This window comes from Homo sapiens, chromosome 17, assembly GCF_000001405.40.
Source record: "Homo sapiens chromosome 17, GRCh38.p14 Primary Assembly".
Classification (NCBI taxonomy): domain Eukaryota; kingdom Metazoa; phylum Chordata; class Mammalia; order Primates; family Hominidae; genus Homo; species Homo sapiens.
Window position 1 is genome coordinate 66,275,675 of NC_000017.11, and position 23,355 is coordinate 66,299,029.

General features: G+C 44.8%; 2 annotated features.

The window, feature by feature from the left end:
• Nucleotides 857–1,151: a silencer, noted in NCBI's record as "tiled region #14325; HepG2 Repressive non-DNase unmatched - State 8:EnhW". NCBI's record gives its function as "represses a minimal TATA promoter and a strong SV40 promoter by Sharpr-MPRA in HepG2 cells {active_cell/tissue: HepG2}" and the evidence as "EXISTENCE:reporter gene assay evidence [ECO:0000049][PMID:27701403]".
• Nucleotides 20,513–20,953: a transcriptional cis regulatory region, noted in NCBI's record as "candidate enhancer chr17.4440 targeted for multiplex CRISPR interference". NCBI's record gives its function as "positively regulates PRKCA gene expression with high confidence in K562 cells {active_cell/tissue: K562}" and the evidence as "EXISTENCE:mutant phenotype evidence [ECO:0000015][PMID:30612741]".

Sequence of the window (23,355 nt, forward strand, 5' to 3'; positions counted from 1 at the left end):
TGAGCCCTATGGACCACCCCACAGCAGTGCAGATTATCTTTGCAAGGTATTACGTGCCTAAGACAGTCTTTCCAGTAGATGACTCAGTGAGCTGGCACCACTTGCAGACTAGCCAGTAGAGTGACCACAGTGTATCAGGAAGATGTGTCACTGAGAAAACAAAACCAGCAAGGATTGTGTGATGCCACAGTGACTCACTGTGCCCAAGGTCCCCCACTCTAACTAGGAGTATTCCCCAGTGGCCTTTATACAACTTGCTGATCTTTTCCTACTTGGCTCGTCTACTCGCCGCACAATCATTCCCATGCAGCCCCACCCCACCCCAGTCCCACCCGTCCTCCTGATGGGGCCTGCTTCTCATCCTCCGCTGAGGTGTCAGATTGACTTCCAGAGGCTTCTGCAGAGCACTTCTCACTCCAATCTCCTCCAATTCTCTAAGCACAAGCAGGAACCTGGGCATTTCCAGCTGCTCAAGCTAAGAGGTCCCCCTTCCAGCCTGGCTCGTGCTGGTGCTTAGGTGGGGCTCCTGTCCCTATCCCCTACAGCTCTGTTGTCTCTCGATATGTCACTCTTTGCACCAGAAAGAACAACCAAGGATCATTCTCAATGCTTCACACAGAAACCCTCTTCTCCCAAATGAATTTCCCGTTCCCTTTCTCAGGGACCCCCAAAGGTATAGCTGCAGCCTCCCAGAACACTTATTCTACAGGAGGCTGCTTAGACCACAGCTGTATTCGGGAAAAGGAAATTTCATTAGGATGTAATGATCTCAGGCCTCCAAAGCCCTGGCTGGCTGGAAAAAGGAGGCTACAGTCAGGATCCTGTCCAAGCCGCCAGAAGAAGTGGCTGATGGCTTTCTAGGCTGCCTCTCTCTGTGCATAATCCTGCTCATATCTCACTGGTCACAGCTGCAAAGGAGTTTAGGAGTGTAGTATCTTAGATGGGCACATATCCCTAGAAAAGCATTGCAAAGCAGAAGGGGAAAATGGAGTTGGGTAGACAACAAGTATTCTCAGAAGATAAGGGCATAGCTGGCAATCTGAACAGTGAGTGTTAAGGTTAGCCATTCCAATATCACACAGATAAGAAAAGGCCCTATGATTTGGCAACCAAGAGATTACTCATGGCCTTGGAAAAGACAAACCTAGCAGAACACTGGATTGGGAGTGGGGTTAAGCAATGAGTGGGGGTGAGGAAGTGGAGACATGGGACCCAGACTTTTCTACAGAGATGTTTCAGTAAAGAGAAATGAGGGCTGGGCGCAGTGGCTCATGCCTGTAATCCCAGAATTTTGGGAGGCCGAGACGGGCGGATCACAAGGCCAGGAGATCGAGACCATCCTGGCTAACATGGTGAAACCCCGTCTCTACTAAAAATACAAAAAATTAGCCAGGTGTGGTGGCGGGCGCTTGTAGTCCCAGCTACTCAGGAGGTTGAGGCAGGAGAATAGTGTGAACCCGGGAGGTGGAGCTTGCAGTGAGCTGACACAGTGCCACTGCACTCCAGCCTGGGCAACAGAGAAAGACTCCATCTCAAAAAAAAAAAAGAAAAAAAAAGAGAGAAATGAGAGACAGAGAAATAGACAGCTGTATTATAAAAATATACACATAATTCCTAACCTTTATTTTGACTGCTTCTTTTCCTCTCCCCAACTCAATCTTGGCAACAGTTACTAATAGCAAAATTGACTGACCTGAGTTCCAGCTTCTCTCTGTTCTTCTTCCCAGGGAAGGTGCTAATGAGGAATGAAATGGCCAAAGGCTGAACTGCGGGAGGGAGAAGTGAAGCTCTGGAACATGCAGCAGCTGAGCGTGGAGCACTGAGGATTTTCTCCATGACAAAAAGGAGTTTTATCATGGCCAGGTGTGGTGGCTTATGCCTGTAATCCCAGCACTTTGGAAGGCTGAGGTGGTAGGATTGCTTGAGGCCAGGAGTTCAAGATCAGCCTGAGCAACATAGCAAGACCCCGTCTCTAAAAAATTAATAAATAAATAAAAAGATTAGCCGGGCATGGTGGCCTGTGCCTGTAGTCTCAGCTACTTGGGAGGCTGAGGTGAGAAGATGGCTTGAGCCCTGGAGGTTGAAATGCAGTAAGCAGTGATAGCACCACTGCGCTCCAGCCTGGGTGACAGAGTGAGACCTTTTTTTTTTTTCTTTCAGTGAAAGTACAGAGATTTATTGCAAAGGCAGAATTACACACTTAAGAAAGGGAAGTGCAAGTGCAATGGGGTTTGGAGTCCCTACATTTATGGGTTTATTGAATTAAGGGGTGGAATATTCATGAAGATTCCTGGAAAAAGATGGAAATTTATCAGAACTGCGGTGCAAACCTAATGCTAAGAAAAGTTCTAATCATAGAAGAACAAAACCCCTTGAGAATTAAAATGAATGAAAATCCATTTGCCTCTTTCATTACCCCTACAATAATAGGACTGCCCATAGTTATTTTAATTATCTTATTCCCAAATATTCTATTCCCATCATGTAGTCGCCTGATCAATAACTGGCTGGTTTCTGTACAACAGTGACTAATATTAAAACAGATAATAATAATAATGTATAACATCAAAGAATGAATCTATCTCTTTTTTTTTTGAGACAGAAAATCGCTCTGCTGCCAGGCTGGAATGCAATGCCTCTATCTTGGCCCACTACAATCTCCACCTCTCTGGTTCAAGCGATTCCCCTGCCTCAGCCTCCGGAGTAGCTGGGACTACAGGCGTGTGCCACCACATCTGGCTAATTTTTTGTATTTTAGTAGAGAAGGAGTTTCACTATGTTAGCCAGGATGGTCTCAATCTCCTCACCTCGTGATCCACCTGCCTCAGCCTCCTAAAATGCTGGGATTACAGGTGTGAGCCCATGCACACGGCCACTCTCTTAATTCTTGTGGCAAAGCATTTCTGAACAAGTGAGGGCTATCCTTAAAGCCCTGAGGCAGTACTATCCAGGTGTACTGCTGGGTAAAATTAGTTTCAGGATTAGTCCACCCAAAAGCAAACAAAAATTGAGAGTCAGAGTGTAAAAGGATACAAAATAAAGCATTATTGAAATCTAATATCGTGAATCAATTGGTGTCTCTGGTATTTGGGTAAATATGGCATAAGGATTTGACACTATAGGGCTGGGCGCAGTGGCTCACGCCTCTAAACCCAGCACTTTGGGAGGCCGAGGCATGTGGATCGCTTGAGGTCAGGAGTTCGAGATCAGCCTGGCCAACATGATGAAACCTCGTCTCTACTAAAAATACAAAAATTATCCAAGCATGGTGGTGCGTGCCTGTAGTCCCAGCTACTCCAGAGGCTGAGGCAGGAGAATTGCTTGAACCTGGGAGGCAGAGGTTGCAGTGAGCTGAGATTGCGCCACTGCACTCCAGAGCAAGACTCCGTCTCAAAAAAATAAATAAGTAATTAAAAAGGATTTGACACTATAGAATGTAAGGTAATTACAACCTCATTAATAGCTCCTAAGTCTTGAACTAGATGATTATTCTGCATTTGGTTTTTGGACAGGGACGGAAGGAGTATTACAAAGAGACTGACTGACATGGAACCAGGAGGCCCTGTTTTAAAAACTTCTCAATTAAAGGTTGGCGTCCTCACCTGGCTTCCGGTTTGAGGGCATATTGGCTCTTGCATGGGAAATTGTTTTTGTCTTTAAAGCGATGATCACGGCTGGGCGCAGTGGCTCAAGTCTGTAATCCCAGCACTTTGGGAGGCTGAGGCGGGCACATCACAAGATCAGGAGATCGAGACGATCCTGGCTAACATGGTGAAACCCGTCTCTACTAAAAATACAAAAAAAATTAGCCGGGCGTGGTGGCGGGCGCCTGTAGTCCCAGCTACTTGGGAGTCTGAGGCAGGAGAATGGCTTGAACCCGGGAGGCGGAGCTTGCAGTGAGCCGAGATCGCACCACTGCACTCCAGCCTGGGCGACAGAGCGAGACTCCGATCTCAAAAAAAAAAAAAAAAAAAAAAAAAAAGAGATGATCACAGGCTGAGCATGTATTGCTTTGCAAGGGGTTTCTTGGTCCCATACTTATGGGTCTACTTGAGACTTTATTTTATGGAGGATCTCCTGTTTTTCTGAGGCTGGTTTAGAAAATACAAGCATTGCCAAGAAGGAGGGCCTGATAAATGTAAAGTGGCTGCAAAGCTGGCTAGGAAGTCCTGTCTCAATAAAAGAGTAGGACATTCCAGCATAACTAGAAACCAGAGTTACCATATAGTTTTCTAGCCTGTAGCTTAGGGGTAAAGTGTTTTGATTTGGGGGTGCCATTGACACCCATGACAGTGCAGCTTTTGGAGAATAAGGGCCCAGAGTGGCAGTTCAGGACAGAGTGGCCACTGAGTCAATTAAGAAATTAATATTTGCCGGGCACAGTGGCTCACACCTGTAATCCCAGCACTTTGGGAAGCTGAGGCGGATGAATTGCTTGAGCCCAGGAGTTCAAGACCAGCCTGGGCAGCATGGTGAAACTCTGTCTCTACAAAAAAAAAAAAAAAAAAAAAAATACAAAAAACTAGCTAGGCATGATCAGGGCTGCCCATAGTCCCAGTTACTCGGAAGGCTGAGGTGGGAGGATTACTTGAGCCCAGAAGGTCAAGGCTGCAGTGAGCCCTGATCACGCCACTGCTCTCCAGCTTGGGTGACAGAGTGAGAACTTGTCTCAAAAAGAAAAGAAAAAGAAATTAATATTCTTGGCTGGGCGCGGTGGCTCACGCCTGTAAAGAAAAAATTTAATTTTCTTTTTTTTTAGGCAGAGTCTCACTCTGTCACCCAGGCTGGAGTGCAGTGGCTCGATCTCGGCCCATTGCAACCTCCACCTCTCGGGTTCTCCTGCCTCAGCCTCCCGAGTAGCTGGGATTACAGGAGCCCGCCACCACGCCCGGCTAATTTTTGGTATTTTTAGTAGAGATGGGGTTTTGCCATTTTGGCCAGGCTGGTCTCGAACTCCTGACCTCGTGATCCACCCGGCTCGGCCTCCCAAAGTGCTGGGATTACAGGCGTGAGCCACCACGCCTGGCCAAAAATTAATATTCTTACCAGCCACGTGAAGAATCACTGAGGCTCCTCAGTTGTGATGACCATGCCTTTTGTGGGAGCCACCAGGAACCTTGGTCTAGTTACAGCCATGATGGCATCGGGCATTCTCCTTTCCCTTTGGAGCTGAAGGTAATCCCTTTTCCAATGGCCCTCCTGCTTGCAGGACAGGGTCTAGGTGGGGTCCCCTGACTGGGACAGTCTTCACTCCAATGTCCTGGCTTCCCACACTTGAAGCAGCAACCATTGCCTGCAGGTTTGCTGTTAGGCCTGTTTGGTCCATGGGCGAAGCATCCCCCCGGGTGACCCTGAGGTTACAGGGCGCTGCTTACAGCAACTGCTGTCATTGGAGCATGCTGTCTGTTCTGTTGTTTGCCACGCTGGGTCCTTTCAGCCTCTCCAGCCCCGTCCCTATTACTAAATACCCCAAAAGCCACATCAAGCATTTGATTAATAGGCATTTGGGGTCCTCAAGCCAATTTCTGTAATTTTATTCTGATGTCAGGTGCTGACTGGTTAATAAAGTGTGTCCCTAGTAAAATCTGTCCAGCATCAGCATTGGGGGTCAATGTTAGTATATTTTGTTAGGGCTTCCACAAGGCACCCCGACACAAATCTGGGTTGTCATCCTTTCCTTGAGTTATTCCCCTTATTTTATTATAGTTCACAGGCTTAGCAGTACATTTTTTATTTCCTTTTTTTTTTTTCCTTTTTTTGAGATGGGGTCTGGTTCTGTTGCCCAGACTGGAGTGCATTGGCACGATCTTAACCAACTACAACCCCCACCTCCTAGGCCCAAGCCATCCTCCCACCTCAGCCTCCTAAGTACCTGGGACTACAGGCACATGCCAGCATGCCTGGCTGATTTTTGTATTTTCTGTAGAAATGGGGTTTCGCTGTGTTGCTCAGGCTGGTCTCAAATTCCTGAGATGAAGCAATCCACCTACCTCTGCCTCCCAAAGTGCTGAGATTATAGGCGTGAGCCACCATGCCCAGCCTGGTACATTTTTTTATTCCCTCCACTAAACAAGTCACCATATGATTTATTTTTCTTACATCAGCCTGGCTCTGTTGATCGTTCCAATTAGGGTCATTGTAAGGCATAGATGTGGTCCCCACAGTGTATTGCTCATGGTCCTCAGCTGATGAAATGCCAAGTGCAAGAGCTCAGCCCTTACAATTGGTCACCTCCATGGCCATGACAGAAGACAGGCATTCCTAGACCCTTGGCTGACTGCCTTGGCATGTAGGCATCCCTGGAGCCCTAGTGTTGTCCAGGGATCCATGGCCCCTGAGGCTTTGAAAACGGGGAGGCTTTCAAAGAGAAGCCGGACCAGCTGTAGGTTTCATTTGAAAGTCACAAGCCTGCTGATATCCATCTGAACGTTTATCACCAAGTACCACTTGGAAGTAGAGATGATTCAGCACAGCCAATAAACAGGGACCTTGAAGGGACCCATTAAGAATCAGAGGCCTGGATTTGGCATTCCAGAGGGCAGTATCTAGGAGGCCTATCTTACTGTGTCCAAAATGTTCACTAAACCTTTGTGTGAAGTAAGAAGAAGCAGCGTGGGGAGAGAAAATTGCAAAAGCCGGGGTTTTTTTGTTTTGTTTTTGTTTTTGTTTTTGAGATGGAGTCTCACTCTGTTGCCCAGGCTGGAGTGCAGCAATGTGATCTCTGCTCACCGCAACCTCTGCCTCCTGGGTTCAAGTGATTCTCATGCTTCAGCCTCCCAAGTAGCTGAGACTACAGGCGTGCGCCACCACACCTGGCTAATTTTTGTATTTTTGGTAGAGACAGGGTTTCACCATGTTGACCAGACTGGTCTCGACCTCCTGATCTCAAGTGATCCGCCCACCTTGGCTTCCCAAATTGCTGGGATTACAGGTGTGAGCCACCGTGCCCAGCCAAAAAGCCGAGTTTAAAGAGAGACAGGAAAAATGAAACAGCTCCCAACCAGGGTCAGTGTCTTGCCACAGCTGGTCCCTTGGGAAAACAGAAGATCCTTCCCAGAAAAAAGTCACAGTGCTCCTTGGAAGCCATCTAGCCACTGCACGGTGTGGGATTTTACCCTCCACCCTCTTTAGCCTCCAGTCAGGAAGGACGGTAGCTCCTCAGGGCTACTCAGTGTAGGTTGAAACCTTCCCACCTCCCTCTCATCCCATCAGGATGAACTGGGTTTTCCAGCCAGAGGGAGCAGAGGCGCTACAGCTGAGGGGAGTCAGGCTGCAGTTGACGCCAAGGAACGAGGAAGAAATTAGCAGTAACTCCAGAGAGTGAGAAGACTCCGACTAATATTGGAGTAGGATTTATAAACTGCCAGTGGTTCTAGAATTCGGCAACGACACTCCAGCCTGGATGGCCATAAAGATGACACCAGTGGGCTGAGGGAGGTCCCCAAACACCGATGGGACCTCGACCCCAGCTGGTGTCCAGGCTCTTGACATCATCACAAGAAGGCATTCAAAGGTGGGTCAGAAAATAATGAAATTACAGAGATTTATTGCAAAGAGAAAAGCACACACTCAAGAAAGAGGAGTGCAAACAAACACAAGGAGAGTCACATGAGAAAATACGTTTTACTGATTCTTACTCCTGCTGGCCCTGGCTTTCTCCTTCCTTGTCTTCCTTTTTTTCTCCCCTTGTGATCCTTTCTCTCTTCCATCCCCAATATATATGTCTTAGATAGGGAACTTAGATTTATTGAGCATCTACTATGTGCCAGGTACTGGGCTTTGGGCCTCATGGACTCCATCTCACTTAGTTCTTCCAGCAGCTTTTGGAGGGATGTTCATTATTATTCCCACTTTACAGAAGAGGAAATGGAGGTTCAGGGAGGTTAAATGATCCAGGTCACACAGTCAAATGGATTGGCGCTGGGAACTACATCTAGATCTGTTTGACTCTAAAACACTATTCTCTCCTTTATTTTTTGAGGGTCCATGAAGCACTATCAAGGAGCTACAGAATGTCAATTACGTTCCTCTTTGGAGTCTTTGTTGCCCAGGCTAGAATGAAGTGATGCAATCTCGGCTCACTGCAACCTCCCACCTTCCAGGTTCAAGCAATTCTCCTGCTTCAGTCTCCCAAGCAGCTGGGACTGCAGGTGCCTGCCACCACACGTGGCTAATTTTTGTATTTTTAATAGAGATGGGGTTTCACCATGTTGGCCCCGCTGGTCTCAAAATCCTGACCTCAAGTGATCCACCCGCCTCAGCCTCCCAAAGTGCTGGGATTACAGGAGAGAGTCACCACACCCGGCCCTCAATTGCATCCTTGAGTACAAATTCACATAACACACATGGAATTCCTGTTTGCTTATGAATCTTCCTATCAGGTGCCACTGATCTGCTAGTAGAAATCCTCCCAAGGAAAAGCTTGAAGAATGCAAGTGTTTTGCTGTCTGTCTAGGTTTTTTGTTAGCCTAAGGAGACACACAAGACTCCAGCTGCTCAGCCAGCCCCTCCGGGAGCCTCAGCCTGTGAGCAAAGTGATGGTGAGCAGGAGGCAGAGACCACAGGCTTCTGTTTACAGAATCTCTCAGACAATGGACAAAAGAGTAGCAACTTTCATAACAACTTGACATTGATAGAGTTTCCAATATAGCTGCACATTTTCTACTGTTATTGCTCCAATCTTCTTCATGAAAAGTAAAAGGGGGCCGGGCGCGGCGGCTCACACCTGTAATCCCAGCACTTTGGGAGGCCGAGGCAGGCGGATCACCTGGGGTCAGGAGTTCAAGACCAGACTGACCAACATGGAGAAACCCCATCTCTACCAAAAATACAAAATTAGCTGGGTGTGGTGATATATGCCTGTAATCCCAGCTACTCAGGAGGCTGAGGCAGGAGAATCACTTGAACCGGGGAGGCAGAGTTTGCCGTGAGCCAAGATCGCGCCATTGCACTCCAGCCTGGGCAACAAGAGTGAAACTCTGTCTCAAAAGAAGAAGAAGAAAAAAAAAAAGTAAAAGAGGGCAGGGCATGGTGGCTCACACCTGTAATTTTGGGAGGCAGAGGCAGGAAGATCACCCAAGCCCAGGAGTTCGAGACCAGCCTGGGCAACATAGTGAGACCTCATCTCTACAAAATAATACAAAAATAAGATGGATGTGGTGGTGCACACCTGTAGTCCCAGATACTTGGGAGGCTGAGATGGGAGATCATCTGAGCCCTCAGTGGTTGAGACTATAGTGAGCTGTGATCACACCACTACATCCCAGCCTGGGTGACAGAATGAGACCCTGTCTCAAAAATAAGTAAATAAATAAAAAGTAAAAGAAGGTTTTGGTCCTCACTTGGATAATCAGCAGTAATAAAAACATCTGGAATGAATCCACTCAGAGCCTTTCCAATAACCAGTCTCTCTCTCTCTCTCTCTCTCTCTCTCTCTCTCTCTGTCTCTCTCTTTAGCACAGGTTAAATTTCTGATTGTTCCTTGAGGCTTTTTTTGGTGGAAATCTATGTTAAAGCATATTTTATGTGGCAGAGGAGGCCAAAAGTGATGGCTGCATGCTTACTTATTATTTTTCCATGAAATAGCATTTTAGGGATCCAAATACAACCTATTTGATCCACAGACATGTACTGATCACTTCCAAGGCTGCGTAAACATTTAAAGACGTTCTTTGATGTGGTTAGACAAAGATGCCCTAAGCTATGGGTGCCAGTTAACTAGTTAATGCCAAATGTCTGGAGGAGCCAATTTGTTGGTCATTTTTAAAAAAGATCTGTGATGAGCAGTAAGAGGCTATCTGAAGCATTTTGTCTTTCATTTTTTAAAAACCTGGATCAAGATACCATGTGCAATATGAATATTTTTCTTTCAAAGGCAAGTATTATACAGAAGTTATCTCTATGGGGGCTGGGCATGGTGGTTCACGCCTGTAATCCCAGCACTTTAGGAGGCTGAGGCAGGTGGATCACCTGAGGTCAGGAGTTCGAGACCAGCCTGACCAACATGGTGAAACCCTGTCTCTACTAAAAATACAAAAATTAGCTGGGCATGGTGGTGGGCACCTGTAATCCCTGCTACTTGGGAGGCTGAGGCAAGAGGATTGCTTGAACCCAAGAGGCAGAGGTTGCAGTGAGCCAAGATAGTGCCATTGCACTCCAGCCTGGATGACAAGAGCGAAACTCCATCTCAAAAAAAAAAAAAAAAAAATAGAAGTTATCTCTGTGGGATTGGAGAAGTGGGAGCACTAGGGAGAGAAACATTTCTCTAATATTTGTGTTTGTATTTTATTTTATTTTTAACATGCCCTTGAGTTTTCTTTTAAAAGTTTAAAACTAGTTCAAATGCAAAAAGAGCATACCCCCCCCACCCCCAACCCTGCCACTCACAGAAAGGGAACACAGGAACAGGATGTTTTTGAGGAAACACACTCCCTCTGTGTAGATTCACTGAAAATATGTCAATTTTTTTTTTTTTTTTGAGACGGAGTCTTGCTCTGTCACCAGGCTGTAGTGCAGTGGCACAATCTCGGCTCACTGCAACCTCTGCCTCCCGGGTTCAAGCGATTCTCTTGCCTCAGCCTCCCAAGTAGCTGGGACTACAGGTGTGTGCCACCATGCCCAGCTAATTTTCGTATTTTTTGTGAGAAGGGGTTTCACTATGTTGGCCAGGATGGTCTTGATTTCTTGACCTCGTGATCCGCCCGCCTTGGCCTCCCAAAGTGCTGGGATTACAGGCATGAGCCACCCCGCCCGGCCAATGTAATTTCTTTCAAGCTGACGAGCAAAGCACCTTTATCACTAAGATCACTGAAGGAGGAATGGGGAGAGGAGGGTGCCAGGTTTTGCCCCTTGAGTTGTTTGTTTGCTTCTCTCTGTCCCAAACACCCAAGAGGGGTGAAGGAGAACTACGAGGCGGTGTTCCTGAAATTCTAGGGAACACATTTTTGGCTGTAATTGGCCGACTGTTTCAGGCAAAATCACGACGACTTTAGCTCTCTACTTTGTTTTGTTTGAGAAAGTCTGGTCCCAGCACGCTTAGTTGTAAAGTGGAAATGTTTCTGGTTCTGGGATTCATTAATTCGGAGCCCCCTGCCTGTTCTGTACAGATGAATAGGGCTCCAGCATCTCAGATGACCACATCTGAAATCCACCCAGAATCTTTTCCAGTAAATAGAAATCCATTTTGTACATTCCTACAGGAATACAACTGCAGCATGAAGAGATGGTCTCTCCCTATACTTCACATCCTTCCTTAAAAATATACATGTATCTATTTCTCTATGGATCTGTTTCTCCTATGAAGCAACTTGAGACAAACTGTGGTGGTTAAGCTATTTTATATTATCAAAATAATTGGTGATTGATAGTTCAGTCTAATATTTCAACACTTTTTAGATATTGGAGCAGGTAGAAATGGATATAGCTATAGGTGTATTAAGACACTCTAGATCTGAAAATTCAATTGTGTAAAAGGATAAATTAAGAGTTGTGAATGGTTTTCACTAAATCCTTTTTTTCTTCCCCTAGATAATTTATTTGGATGAGAGCTCTTCCTGTTCACCTTAGTATCTGTTGAAAGATGAGTATTTGGTGAAATAAGTTGGAAAATCAGAAGAACTTAAGACTAAAGTGTGGAAAGGTCATTGTGATGGATGATCACTCAGAAATGAAATGAAGTTAGAGCATCTCCCAAAATCATTGATCACTGGACCAAGACAAATAGATCCAGGCCAGGCACAGTGGCTCATGCACTTTGGGAAGCCAAGGTAGGGGGATTGCTTGAGGCTAGGAGTTTGAGACCAGCCTGGACAACATAGCGAGATACTATCTCTACAAAAAAAAAAAAATTAAAAATCACCCATGGCTGGGTGCAGTGGCTCAGGCCTGTAATCCCAGCACTTTGGGATGCTGATGAGGGCAGATCACTTGAGGTCAGGAGTTTGAGGCCAGCCTGGCCAACATGGCAAAACCCATCTCTACTAAAAATACAAAAATTAGCTGGGTGTGGTGGCACATGCCTGTAATCCTGGTTACTGGGGAGGCTGAGGCAGGAGAATCGCTTGAACCCAGGAGGCAGAGGTTGCAGTGAGCTGAGAATGTGCCACTGCACTTCAGCCTGGGCGACAGAGCGAGACTCCATCGAAAAAAAAAAAAAAAATCGCCTGGGCACAGTGATGTGTGCCTGCAGTCCTATTTATTCAGGAGGTTGAGGTAGAAGGATTGCTTGAGACCAAGTGTTGAAGGATGCAGTGAGCTATGATTGTGCCACTGCACTCCAGCCTGGGTGACAGAGTAAGACCCTATCTCCAAAAACAAAAACAAGTAGACTCTGAGCTCTTTAAAGACAGGAACCTTGGCTTTCACCTTTGATTCCAAGGAGTCTGCAATATGTGTGAGTAAGATCACAAGCCAGGAGCTATGGACTTTGCCCACCATGCTTGAGAGGATATGGCACAAGCATGCCTTCCCTGAGGCAGCTGGATGTGTTTGCGGTGCCAGTGACCTGGAGACTGGCAGCAGCAGAGTAGAGGAAGGCAGCAAGGGTTCAGAGAAAGGATGGTGACAGGGCAAGGGGGCAGCAAAGATGTTCTGTTTTTTTCATGAGAGGCACGGCTGGTTCAGAGTCTGGATTCTTGGGCACAAAGAGGGAAAGATTGGATGATATCCTTTAAAAACCAGGCACTCTGAGGCCTGGCATGGTGGCTCATGCCTGCAATCCTAGCACTTTGGGAAGCCAAGGCTGGTGGGTCACTTGAGGTCAGGAGTTCAAGACTAGCCTGACCAACATGGCAAAACCCAGTATCTACTAAAAATACAAAAATTAGCCAGGCGTGACGGCGGGTGCCTGCAATCCCAGCTACTCAGGAGGCTGAGGCAGAAGAATCACTCGAACCCAGGAGGTGGAGGTTGCAGTGAGCTGAGATCCTGCTACTGTACTCCAGCCTGGGCAACAGAGCAAGACTCCATCTCAGAAAAACAACAAAAACAGGCTGGGTGCAGTGGCTCACACCTGTAATCCCAGCACTTTGGGAGGCTGAGGTGGGCAGATCACCTCAGGTCAGGAGACCAGCCTGGCCAACATGGTGAAACCCCATCTCTACTAAAAATAAAAAATTAGCTGGGCATGGTGGCACATGCCTGTAATCCCAGCTGCTCGGGAGGCTGAGGCAGGAGAATCACTTGAACCTGGGAAGTGGAGGTTGCAATGAGCCAAGATCACACCACTGCACTCCAGCCTGGGCAACAAGAGAGAAACTCCGTCTCAAAGCAAAACAAAACAAACAAAAAAATTAAAAAAACAAAAAACAAACAAACAAAAGCCCCAGGCAATCTGAGTATCAGCCTCCAGGCAGAGGCGGGGAAGCAAGGAAACAGAGGTGCTACAGACAATGTTTATATTTCCTCCCAAATTCCTACGCTAAGATCCTAACTCCCAACCTTCGGGCATCAGGTGGGGAGGCCTTTGGGAGGTGATCAGGTCATGAGGGCAAAGCCATCCTGAATGGGATTAGTGCCCTTACAAAAGAGACTCGGGAGAGTCTCGTCCTCAACCTGTGAGGACACAGCAAGAAGGTGTCATCTCTAAGCCAGAAAGTGGCCCTCACCAGATGCCAAATCTGCCAGCACCTTGATCTTGGACTTCCCAGACTCCAGAATTGTGAGAAATAAATGCTCTTTTTTTTTTTTTTTTTTTTTTTGGTCAGAGACTGAGTCTTACTCTGTTGCCCAGGCTAGAGTGCAATGGCTTGATCTCGGCTCACTGCAACCTCTGCCTCCTGGGTTCAAGCGATTCTCCTGCCTCAGCCTCCCAAATAGCTGGGATTACAGGCACGCACCACCATGCCCGGCTAATTTTTATTTTCTTAGTAGAGACAGGGTTTCATCATGTTGGCCAGGCTGGTTTCAAACTCTTGACCTTGTGATCTGCCTGCCTCGCCCTCCCAAAGTGTTGGGATTACAGACATGAGCCACCCAGCCCAGCTAAATGCTCATTGTTTATCAGTCACCCAGTCTGTAGTATTCTGTTATAGCAGTCCCAACAGACCAAGAGAGAGAGAAGAGACTAATTAACACCCCTTTTGACAATCTCCTGTTTCACAGGCATCAAAAGGGGAATTTATTTCCAAATCCCTTTATGTTAATCTGGAATGATGAGGGGACAAGAAGGCCACCTATCCTCTCCGGTATTCCCCTACTTCCCTGCTGATGGTTCAAGCGATTCTCCTGCCTCAGCCTCCCAAGTAGCTGGGATTACAGGTACGCACCACCATGGCTGGCTAATTTTGTATTTTTGGTAGAGACAGGGTTTCACCATGTTGGCCAGGCTAGTCTCAAACTCCTTACCTCAGGTAATCTGCCTGCCTTGGCCTCCCAAAGTGCTAGGATTACAGGAATGAACCACCATACCTGGCAAAAAAAAAAAAAAAAAAAAAAAAAAAAAAAATTAAATGCAAATACATCAGCTGAAGAAGTTAATATTATATGAATGATCTGGTCAATAAAAGGAGGTCTGGCACCAGATTCTCCTTCTGTTCAGCACAGCAAACTAGAATGGAAGCTCCATAGAGGAGGTACTTTATTTCAGTAACTGCTGTGCCCCCACTGTCTGGTATATAGGGGGCACTCAAGTAATATTTATCGGGTGTGGAGTGAATGGACCTGGAATATGCTAGGTGTTGTACCACAAAGTGGGAGAGGTATCAAGAAAGCGTTTTATAACTCTTGTAGTTGGTGAGACAACATAAAAAGATAATTTCCAGACTGTGCTGGAGAAGCGTGGAGTGTTGTGGAAGCAAAGAGAAAGAACCCAGAAAGACAGGAACTGCTTAACAGCGAATAGGAGGTTCTACTACCACTGACTTGGGAAGCAGTATGCTGAGCAAATATGGCCATCCTGTGGTCTTCTAAAGACCATTTATCTTTCCTAAAAGTCATTGGTTTTCCCCTAAGTTGTCTTTCTCTCCCTCTTCTCCATGAAGACAGTATATAAGCCCCAAATTCTAACCAACATTTTGAGTCACATTTTTTTTTTTTTTTTTTGAGATGGAGTTTTGCTCTTGTTGCCCAGGCTGGAGTGTAATGGTGCGATCTTGGCTCACTGCAACCACCGCCTCCCGGGTTCAAGCGATTCTCCTGCCTCAGCCTCCTGAGCAGCTGAGATTACAGGCATGCACCACCACATCCAGCTGAGTCACATTTTTTTCTGTGTTCCTACACACACACACACACACACACACACACACACAAATACAAATTTACACATTTATATATGTATATACACATTTGTATCTTTGCTTCTTGTCTGTCTTTTGTGAGTTTAATTCACAGGACCTAAGTGAGTGGAGGAAAAGTTTTTTTCTCCTTGACACCTATCAACCATACTTAGCCAACATTGTCATCCTTTCCTTTTGCCCATAACATCATTTAGGAGGACATATTTTTAAATTTCATATTTAATTTACTACAGTTACAGATTTTTAAACATATTTAAGTTTTTAAGTGCTGCTTACAAATCTGACTCTTCTGTATACAGATCACTTTACGGGTGTTTAAGGAAAACAATAATAAACTATCAATTGCCTGACAAAGATTTCCTCATTGAGACTTAACACTTGGCCAGGTGCAGTGGCTCATGCCTGTAATCTCAGCACTTTGGGAGGCCAAGGCGGGAGGATCACTTGAGCTCAGGAGTTCAAGACCAGACTGGGCAACATTGTGTGACCCTGTCTCTATAAAAAAAAAACTGTTTTATAAAAAAGACTTAACATTTAAGTAAGGCTGGGTGCTGTGACTTACGCCTGTAATCCCAAAACTTTGGGAGGCTGGGGTGTACAGATCATGTGAGGTCAGGAGTTTGTGACCCGCCTGGCCAACATGGCGAAACACTGTCTCTACCGAAAATACAAAAATTAACTGGGTGTGGTGGCACACACTTGTAATCCCAGCTACTTGGGAGGCTGAGGTAGGAGAATTGCTTGAACCTAGGAGGCAGAGGCTGCAGTGAGCTGAGATTGCACCACTGTACTCCAGCCTGGGCAACAGATGGAGACTCCATCTCAAAACAAACAAACAAACAAGTAAGTTTTTATAAACCTAAGTAATTAAACTTATACAACTGGTGAATATCTTAAAATTCTCTTAAGTGTTTTAAAAATGTTTATAAAATTCATATGATTTCAACTTAAAATCTCAGTCTATAATCATTACTCATACATTTTAAATTTGAAACACAATTAGTCTGTTAAAACCTCTAGTATGCTAACTTCTCTTGAACACAAGTATACACAGTTTGCTTCTAAACTTAAAAAAACAAACATTTCAGAAGAGAATGCAATGTGGGCCTGTGATACCAGGGTGACTTTTCTTATATCTTTCTTATATCTGCCTGCAAGGTAGGGTCCTTTTTTTTTGAGATGGAATTTTGCTCCTGTTGCCCAGGCTGGAGTGCAATGGTGCGATCTCGGCTCACTCCAACCCCCTCCTGTCGGGTTCAAGTGATTCTCTGCCTCAGCCTCCCGAGTAGCTGGGATTACAGGCACCACGACCACGCCTGTCTAATTTTTGTATTTTTAGTAGAGACGGGGTTTCACCATGTTGGCCAGGCTGGTCTGGAACTGCTGACCTCAGGTGATCCACCCACCTCGGCCTCCTAAAGTGCTGGGATTATAGGTGTGACCCGCCGCGCCCAGCCGGGTTCTTTTTTTTTTTTTTTTTTTTTTTAATATTTGCTTTGCCATTGTCTCCAAAACACAGGCTATGCCATGGTGGCATAACAATTATTTTGAGCTGAAGGCATTTGAGAATGAGCAGATGCAGGAAGAAACTTTTGTTTTCTGGATTCCTTTGAAAGTGGAGACTCCCAAAAGATCTCAACTGATATAAATTCTAGCCCTGACAGTTTCATAACCAGGGAAGATTGGCTTTTATCACTGGAGACAAGTCAACACTGGGATCAAGAGATCACCTAAACAGACATTGACACAAAACTACTATATCTTCCATCTGGTCTTCTAAAAGACCATTTATCTTTCCTAAAAGTCATTGGTTTTCCCCTAAGTTGTCTTTCTCTCCCTCTTCTCCATGAAGACAGTATATAAGCCCCAAATTCTAACCAACATTTTGAGTCACATTTTTTTTTTTTTTTTTGAGATGGAGTTTTGCTCTTGTTGCCCAGGCTGGAGTGTAATGGTGCGATCTTGGCTCACTGCAACCACCGCCTCCCGGGTTCAAGCGATTCTCCTGCCTCAGCCTCCTGAGCAGCTGAGATTACAGGCATGCACCACCACATCCAGCTGAGTCACATTTTTTTCTGTGTTCCTACACACACACACACACACACACACACACACAAATACAAATTTACACATTTATATATGTATATACACATTTGTATCTTTGCTTCTTGTCTGTCTTTTGTGAGTTTAATTCACAGGACCTAAGTGAGTGGAGGAAAAGTTTTTTTCTCCTTGACACCTATCAACCATACTTAGCCAACATAGTTATTTGACACATTCGTTTACTGCTTCCTTTCCTCTCTAGGGCCATTCCTATTTTTGTACAAAAATACAGTTATTTTCCCATAAAAATTTACTTAGATCTCATCGGCCACCCTCTTTTTTCACTCTTCTTTGCAACAGCATTCTGTAGCCTCTGACTTCAATTTCTCCCCTTCCCTTCTCTCTGAAACTCCCTCTAAACAAGCTTTGACAACCTCCCTCCCACTGACACTGTTCTGGCTGGGCACAGTGTACATGCCTGTAGTATCAGTTACTCAGGGGGCTGAGATGGAAGGATTGCTTGAGCCCAGAAGTTTGAGGCCAGCCTGAGCAGTGTGGTGAGACCCCCATGTCAAAACAAAAGCAAAACAAACAAACAAAAAGACACTGTTCTATTTATTGTTTATCTCTAGCATCTATAACAGTGCCTGTTATAAGTGCTCAGTTTATGTTTATTAAGTTCTGTTTCTGAATATTTTTTATGTTCTTCCTGTTTGTTAGAATTGCATTTTGTACAGAAATTTGAATGACATCTGAATAGATTCCAAGGCTTTGGGAAGTATCACCATTCTAGTACTAAGGCTGTGATAACCACAGATACAATGGCAGATTATACAGTTTGCCAAATAATATTATGTGTGCCTTCCAAAGACCCAGGCTGTCATCACCACATTGAATCTTGTGAAATAGCTCTAAGAGGAGGTGGTCATTCTCTGTCACTTACTGATTTATCTATATGAACCTTGTTAGACACACGTCCTGAGGCAAGTTTTGCTTAAATCTCTGCCCTATGCCTATTGATGGGAGTTTTTACTCCCACCAATATGGGGGGCCTGCAACTTAAACTGACAAAAGACAGGTAACAGGTGACAAGATAAATTTGTATTCATGCATGTACACAGTCCCACAGTATTTACTCCATTACTGTGTATAGCATAAAGCATCCAAATTATTATTATTATTATTTTTGAGATGGAGTCTCGCTCTGTCTCCTAGGGTGGAGTGCAGTGGTGCAATCTCGGCTCACTGCAACCTCCGCCTCCCGGGTTCAAGCAATTCTCTGCCTTCGCCTCCCGAGTAGCTGGGATTACAGGTGCCTGCCACCATACCTGGCTAATTTTTATGTATTTTCAGTAGAGACGGGTTTCACCATCTTGGCCAGGCTGGTCTTGAACTCCTGACATCGTGATCCACCCGTCTCGGCCTCCCAAAGTGCTGAGATTATAGGCGTGAGCCACCACGCCTGACCAAACCATCCAAATTAAAACAGGATCAATGTTTTGAAGGGAGTTACACATGTGTTTTTTGTTTTGTTTTGTTTTGTTTTGTTTTTTAGACAGGGTCCGCTTCGTTGTCCAAGCTGGAGTGGTGGCACAATCTTGGCTTACTGCAACCTCTGCCTCCCCAGCTTAAGCGATTCTCCTGTCTCAGCCTCCCGAGTAGCTGGGACTACAGGCACATGCCACCATGCCCAGATAATTTTTGTATTTTTAGTGGAGGTGGGGGTTTCACCATGTTGGCCAGGCTGGTCCCAAACTCCTGACCTCAAATGATCTGCCCACCTTGGCCTCCTAAAGTGCTGGGATTACAGGCATGAGCCACTGTGCCCGGCTGCTCATGTGTATTAAATGATGGCTATTGGCCAGGCATGGTGGCTCACGCCTGTAATCCCAGCACTTTGGGAGGCCGAGGCGGGCAGATCACCTGAGGTCAGGAGTTTGAGACCAGCCTGGCCAACATGGTGAAACCTCATCTCTACTAAAAATACACAAATTAGCCGGGCATGGTGGTGGGTGCCTGTAATCCCAGCTACTCGGGAGGCTGAGGCAGGAGAATCACTTGAACCCGGGAGGCGGAGGTTGCAGTGAGCCGAGATCACACAGCTGCACTCCAGCCTGGGTGATGGAGCGAGACTCCATCTCAAAAAAAAAAAAAAAAAGATGGCTATTATATAAATGAATATAAGTGAACAAATGTGATAAGTTAAATTTTGCTAGGATCCCTATCCCATGCCAATCACCAAAGGGAACACAAATTATACAAAGGTAGGGACTATGTTTTGCTCATGACTGTGTCAATATATAATATACAAATAATATCTTGGTATTCTGGGACTTAGCATTCATTGTTGAAAGAGTGGATGAGAATCTTGGTAATGCCAGCATTTTCTTTCTGCTCAGATGCTGATCCCACTCTAACCTATCCTGTTTACAACTAATTCCTAGACTTTTTATGATGCAAAATTATAAAACAAGGATGGAAGGCTTACCTTAAAGAGAGAAGTGGAGGGATTTTTTGTCGAAAGTCATATATAATAAAGAGTACAAAAAATAATAAAAGAGAGGAGAGGGCGTAAACACTGATCTTGCTATGAGTAGAAGAAGGAACCTATTTTGGCGAGGGTAAATAAAGGGACTTATTTATTTAAAGACTCACTATTTTTTATATTTTTGGTAGAGACGGGGCTTACCCATATTGCCCAGGCTGGTCTCGAACTCCTGACCTCAAGGAATCCACCCTCCTTGGCCTCCCAAAGTGCTGGGATTACAGGCATGAGCCACCACAGCCCAGCCATAAGGGGACTTCAGGAAGCCTGCTGAGAATGTGGGAGATGAGAGTGAATGTTAGGAGGAAGAAAGAAGACGAAAGGCGGATCAAAACATCTGGCTGGGGGTTCTAAATTGGATTGGGCATCTAATTGTTTAATGTCTTTCAAGGGATAAGAGAAATAAATGGCATTCTTTTCATTTTAATTTACTTGCTTTTGCCCATTCGATTATGCTTTTTCTTTTCTTTTATTTTTTTGAGATGGAGTCTTGCTCTGTTGCCCAGGCTGGAGTGCAGTGGTGCAATCCTGGCTCACTGCAAGCTCTGCCTCCCGGGTTCATGACATTCTCCTGCCTCAACCTCCCAAGTATCTGGGACTACAGGCGCCTGCCACCACACTCAGCTAATTTTTTTGTATTTTTAGTAGAGACGGGGTTTCACCATGTTAGCCAGGAGGGTCTCAATTACTGACTCGTGATCCGCCCGCCTTGGCCTCCCAATCTATTGTACTTTTTAAAATGAGACTCCCCTCCAGGCTAAACCTTTCTCCTTTTGGGCTATAGCAGAAAGACCTGAGCTCCTCAGTGACAGGGAGCGTATCGTCTTTATTTTGTTTTCCTGGGACTAGCAGAGTGTCTGCTACAGAGCTGAAGGGTCATGTTTCAGTTTTTGGAAAGTAACTCAACTTCAGCCTCACATCTACTGGACAGAGTGAGCTTATCTTGGCCCTCCAGGCAAAGTCAGCTGAAGGCCATGGTAGAGACACAACTGGTTCTTCTACTAGTCTTCTTCTAGTTTGCTTATTCGTTTTGCTGTATTTAGCTCTTTATAACCTTCAACAAATTCAAGGTTTTATTGCGGTATAATTGATTTGCAATAAACTGCACATACTTAAAGTGTACAATTTGATGAGTTTTATATGTGCGTAATTGTGAAACCAACAGACAGGGAACATAGCATCACCTCCAGGAGTCTCCTCACGGTGGTTTTATTTCAAGGTTTTATTATCTAGAGATAAAGAGATAAGGAAGGAGATAGATCAAATAGGATTCTTCACGATTTGATAATTGTTGAAGCTGGGTGACAAGGATTCAATGAGATTCATTGTTTGAAACTTTTTATATATGTTTCAAAAAATTCATTTATAAAAGTTTTTCTTTTTTTCTTTCTTTTTTTTTTTTAGAAAAAACTTCAGGCCAGGTGCAGTGGCTCACGCTTGTAATCCCAGCACTTTGGGAGGCCGAGGCAGGCAGATCACGAGGTCAGGGGATCGAGACCATCCTGGCTAACATGGTGAAACCCCGTCTCTACTAAAAATACAAAAAATTAGCTGGGCGTGGTGGGTGGTGCCTGTGGTCCCAGCTACTCGGGAGGCTGAGGCAGGAGAATGGCATGAACCCGGGAGGCAGAGCTTGCAGTGAGCCGAGATTTCGCCACTGCACTCCAGCCTGGGTGACACAGTGAGATTCCGTCTCAAAAAAAAAAAAAAAGAAAAAACTTCAATATGTTAACTCCTATTGATGATAGAGGCCACTGGCTCCTGTTTAAAAAATTCAGGAAATGTGCATGGCCAGATACTTCTCCCCAGCAAGGTTTGGGGAAGCATTATGAACGATCTTAATACCCTCTCCCATGTCAATTAAACTAGTCACGAATGAAAAGATACGGGGATTATTTGGGTGGGTCCTTTAGATCCGAAATTTTCTTTTTTTTTTTTTGGGAGATGGAGTCTCGCTCTGTTGCCCAGGGTGGAGTGTGGTGGCACAATCTCGGCTCACTGCAACCTCCACCTCCTGGGATTAAGCAATTCTCCTGCCTCAGCCCCCCAAGTAGCTGGGACTACAGGCGCATGCTGCCACGCCCAGCTAGTTTTTTGTATTTTAGTAGAGATAGGGTTTCACCATGTTGCCCAGGCTGGTCTTGAACTCCTGAACTCAGGCAATTCGCCCACTTCGGCCTCCCAAAGTGCTAGGATTATAGGCATGAGCCACCGCGCCCGGCAGATTTGAAATTTTCAAAGAATTCAAGCATTATGGCTTTGGCTAAAAAGCAATTCATTTATTATTTATTTAGATATGAGGTCTCATTCTGTCACCTAGGCTGGAGTGCAGAGGTACAATCTTGGCTCCTGTAGCCTCAATCTCCTAGGCTCAAGGAATTCTCCTGCCTCAGCCCTCCTGAGTAGCTGAGACTACAGGCACATGCTACCATGCCTGGCTAATTTTTTATGTATTTTTTGTAGACACGGATCTCATTATATTGTCCAGCCTAGTCTCAAACTCCTGGGCTCAAATGATCCTCTCACCTTGGCCTCCCAAAATGCTGGGATTATAGGCATGAGCCACTGCATCCAGCCCAGATATTTTAAATGTATATTTATATATAATCTTTTTAAAAACCCATACATGCTAACATTCTATGCACATTTCTGCATTTTGCATTTTCACTCATACATCTGGAAGATATTTCTATATCAGTACATATAATTAAAAAAAAAAAAAATCTCATTTTTTAAACAGCTGCAAATAATTCTAGCAAATGAATGCATAATTGATCTAACTAATCTCCTGTGGATAGACATTTAATAATTGTTTGCTACTGGAGTCAGTGCTGCCTTTATACATATGCCTTCATGTACACGTGCGTTTATATATGCAAGATACATTTATAGAAGTGGAAGTGCTAGGATTACATTTATAAAATGTATCAACCTTTTAAAAGTACATGCATCAAAATGTTTGATACATTTTTAAATGACAATTATTGCCAAATTGCTCTGTATCATGTCTGTGTGCGACAATTTACAATCCCGCTAATGATGTATGAAACCATTTGATTCTGTACACCCTTAATGAAACAGTGTGTTCCTTACACTTTTTATGTGTGCCCAACTCTTAGGTCACAGTGGGGTTTCAATATGATCTTAATTTACATTTATCTTTTTATGAGACATGTTGAGAATTTTATCATAGGAACTATTTGTATTTCCTTTTCTGAGAACTATCTGTTCACGACATTTGCCATTATTTTTTCTTGGGCTTGTTATTCTTTTTGTTCTTGATTAATATCTGGTGGGATATTTATTCCTACTTTTTTTTTCATTTGGACTGTTGAATTAGCTTGTTTACTTCTAAAAAAATTCTACTTTCATTGGGCTAAGTTACATTTATGGTTTAATTAAGAAAAACTGACATTTCAATGTCTCTTCCTGTATGAGAACAGGGCATATCTTTCCATTTATTCAAGACATAAAGTGGGTTTAAACAGGTACATTTTTAAAAGATGGCTACTTGTGGAGTCCAAATTGAGAAGG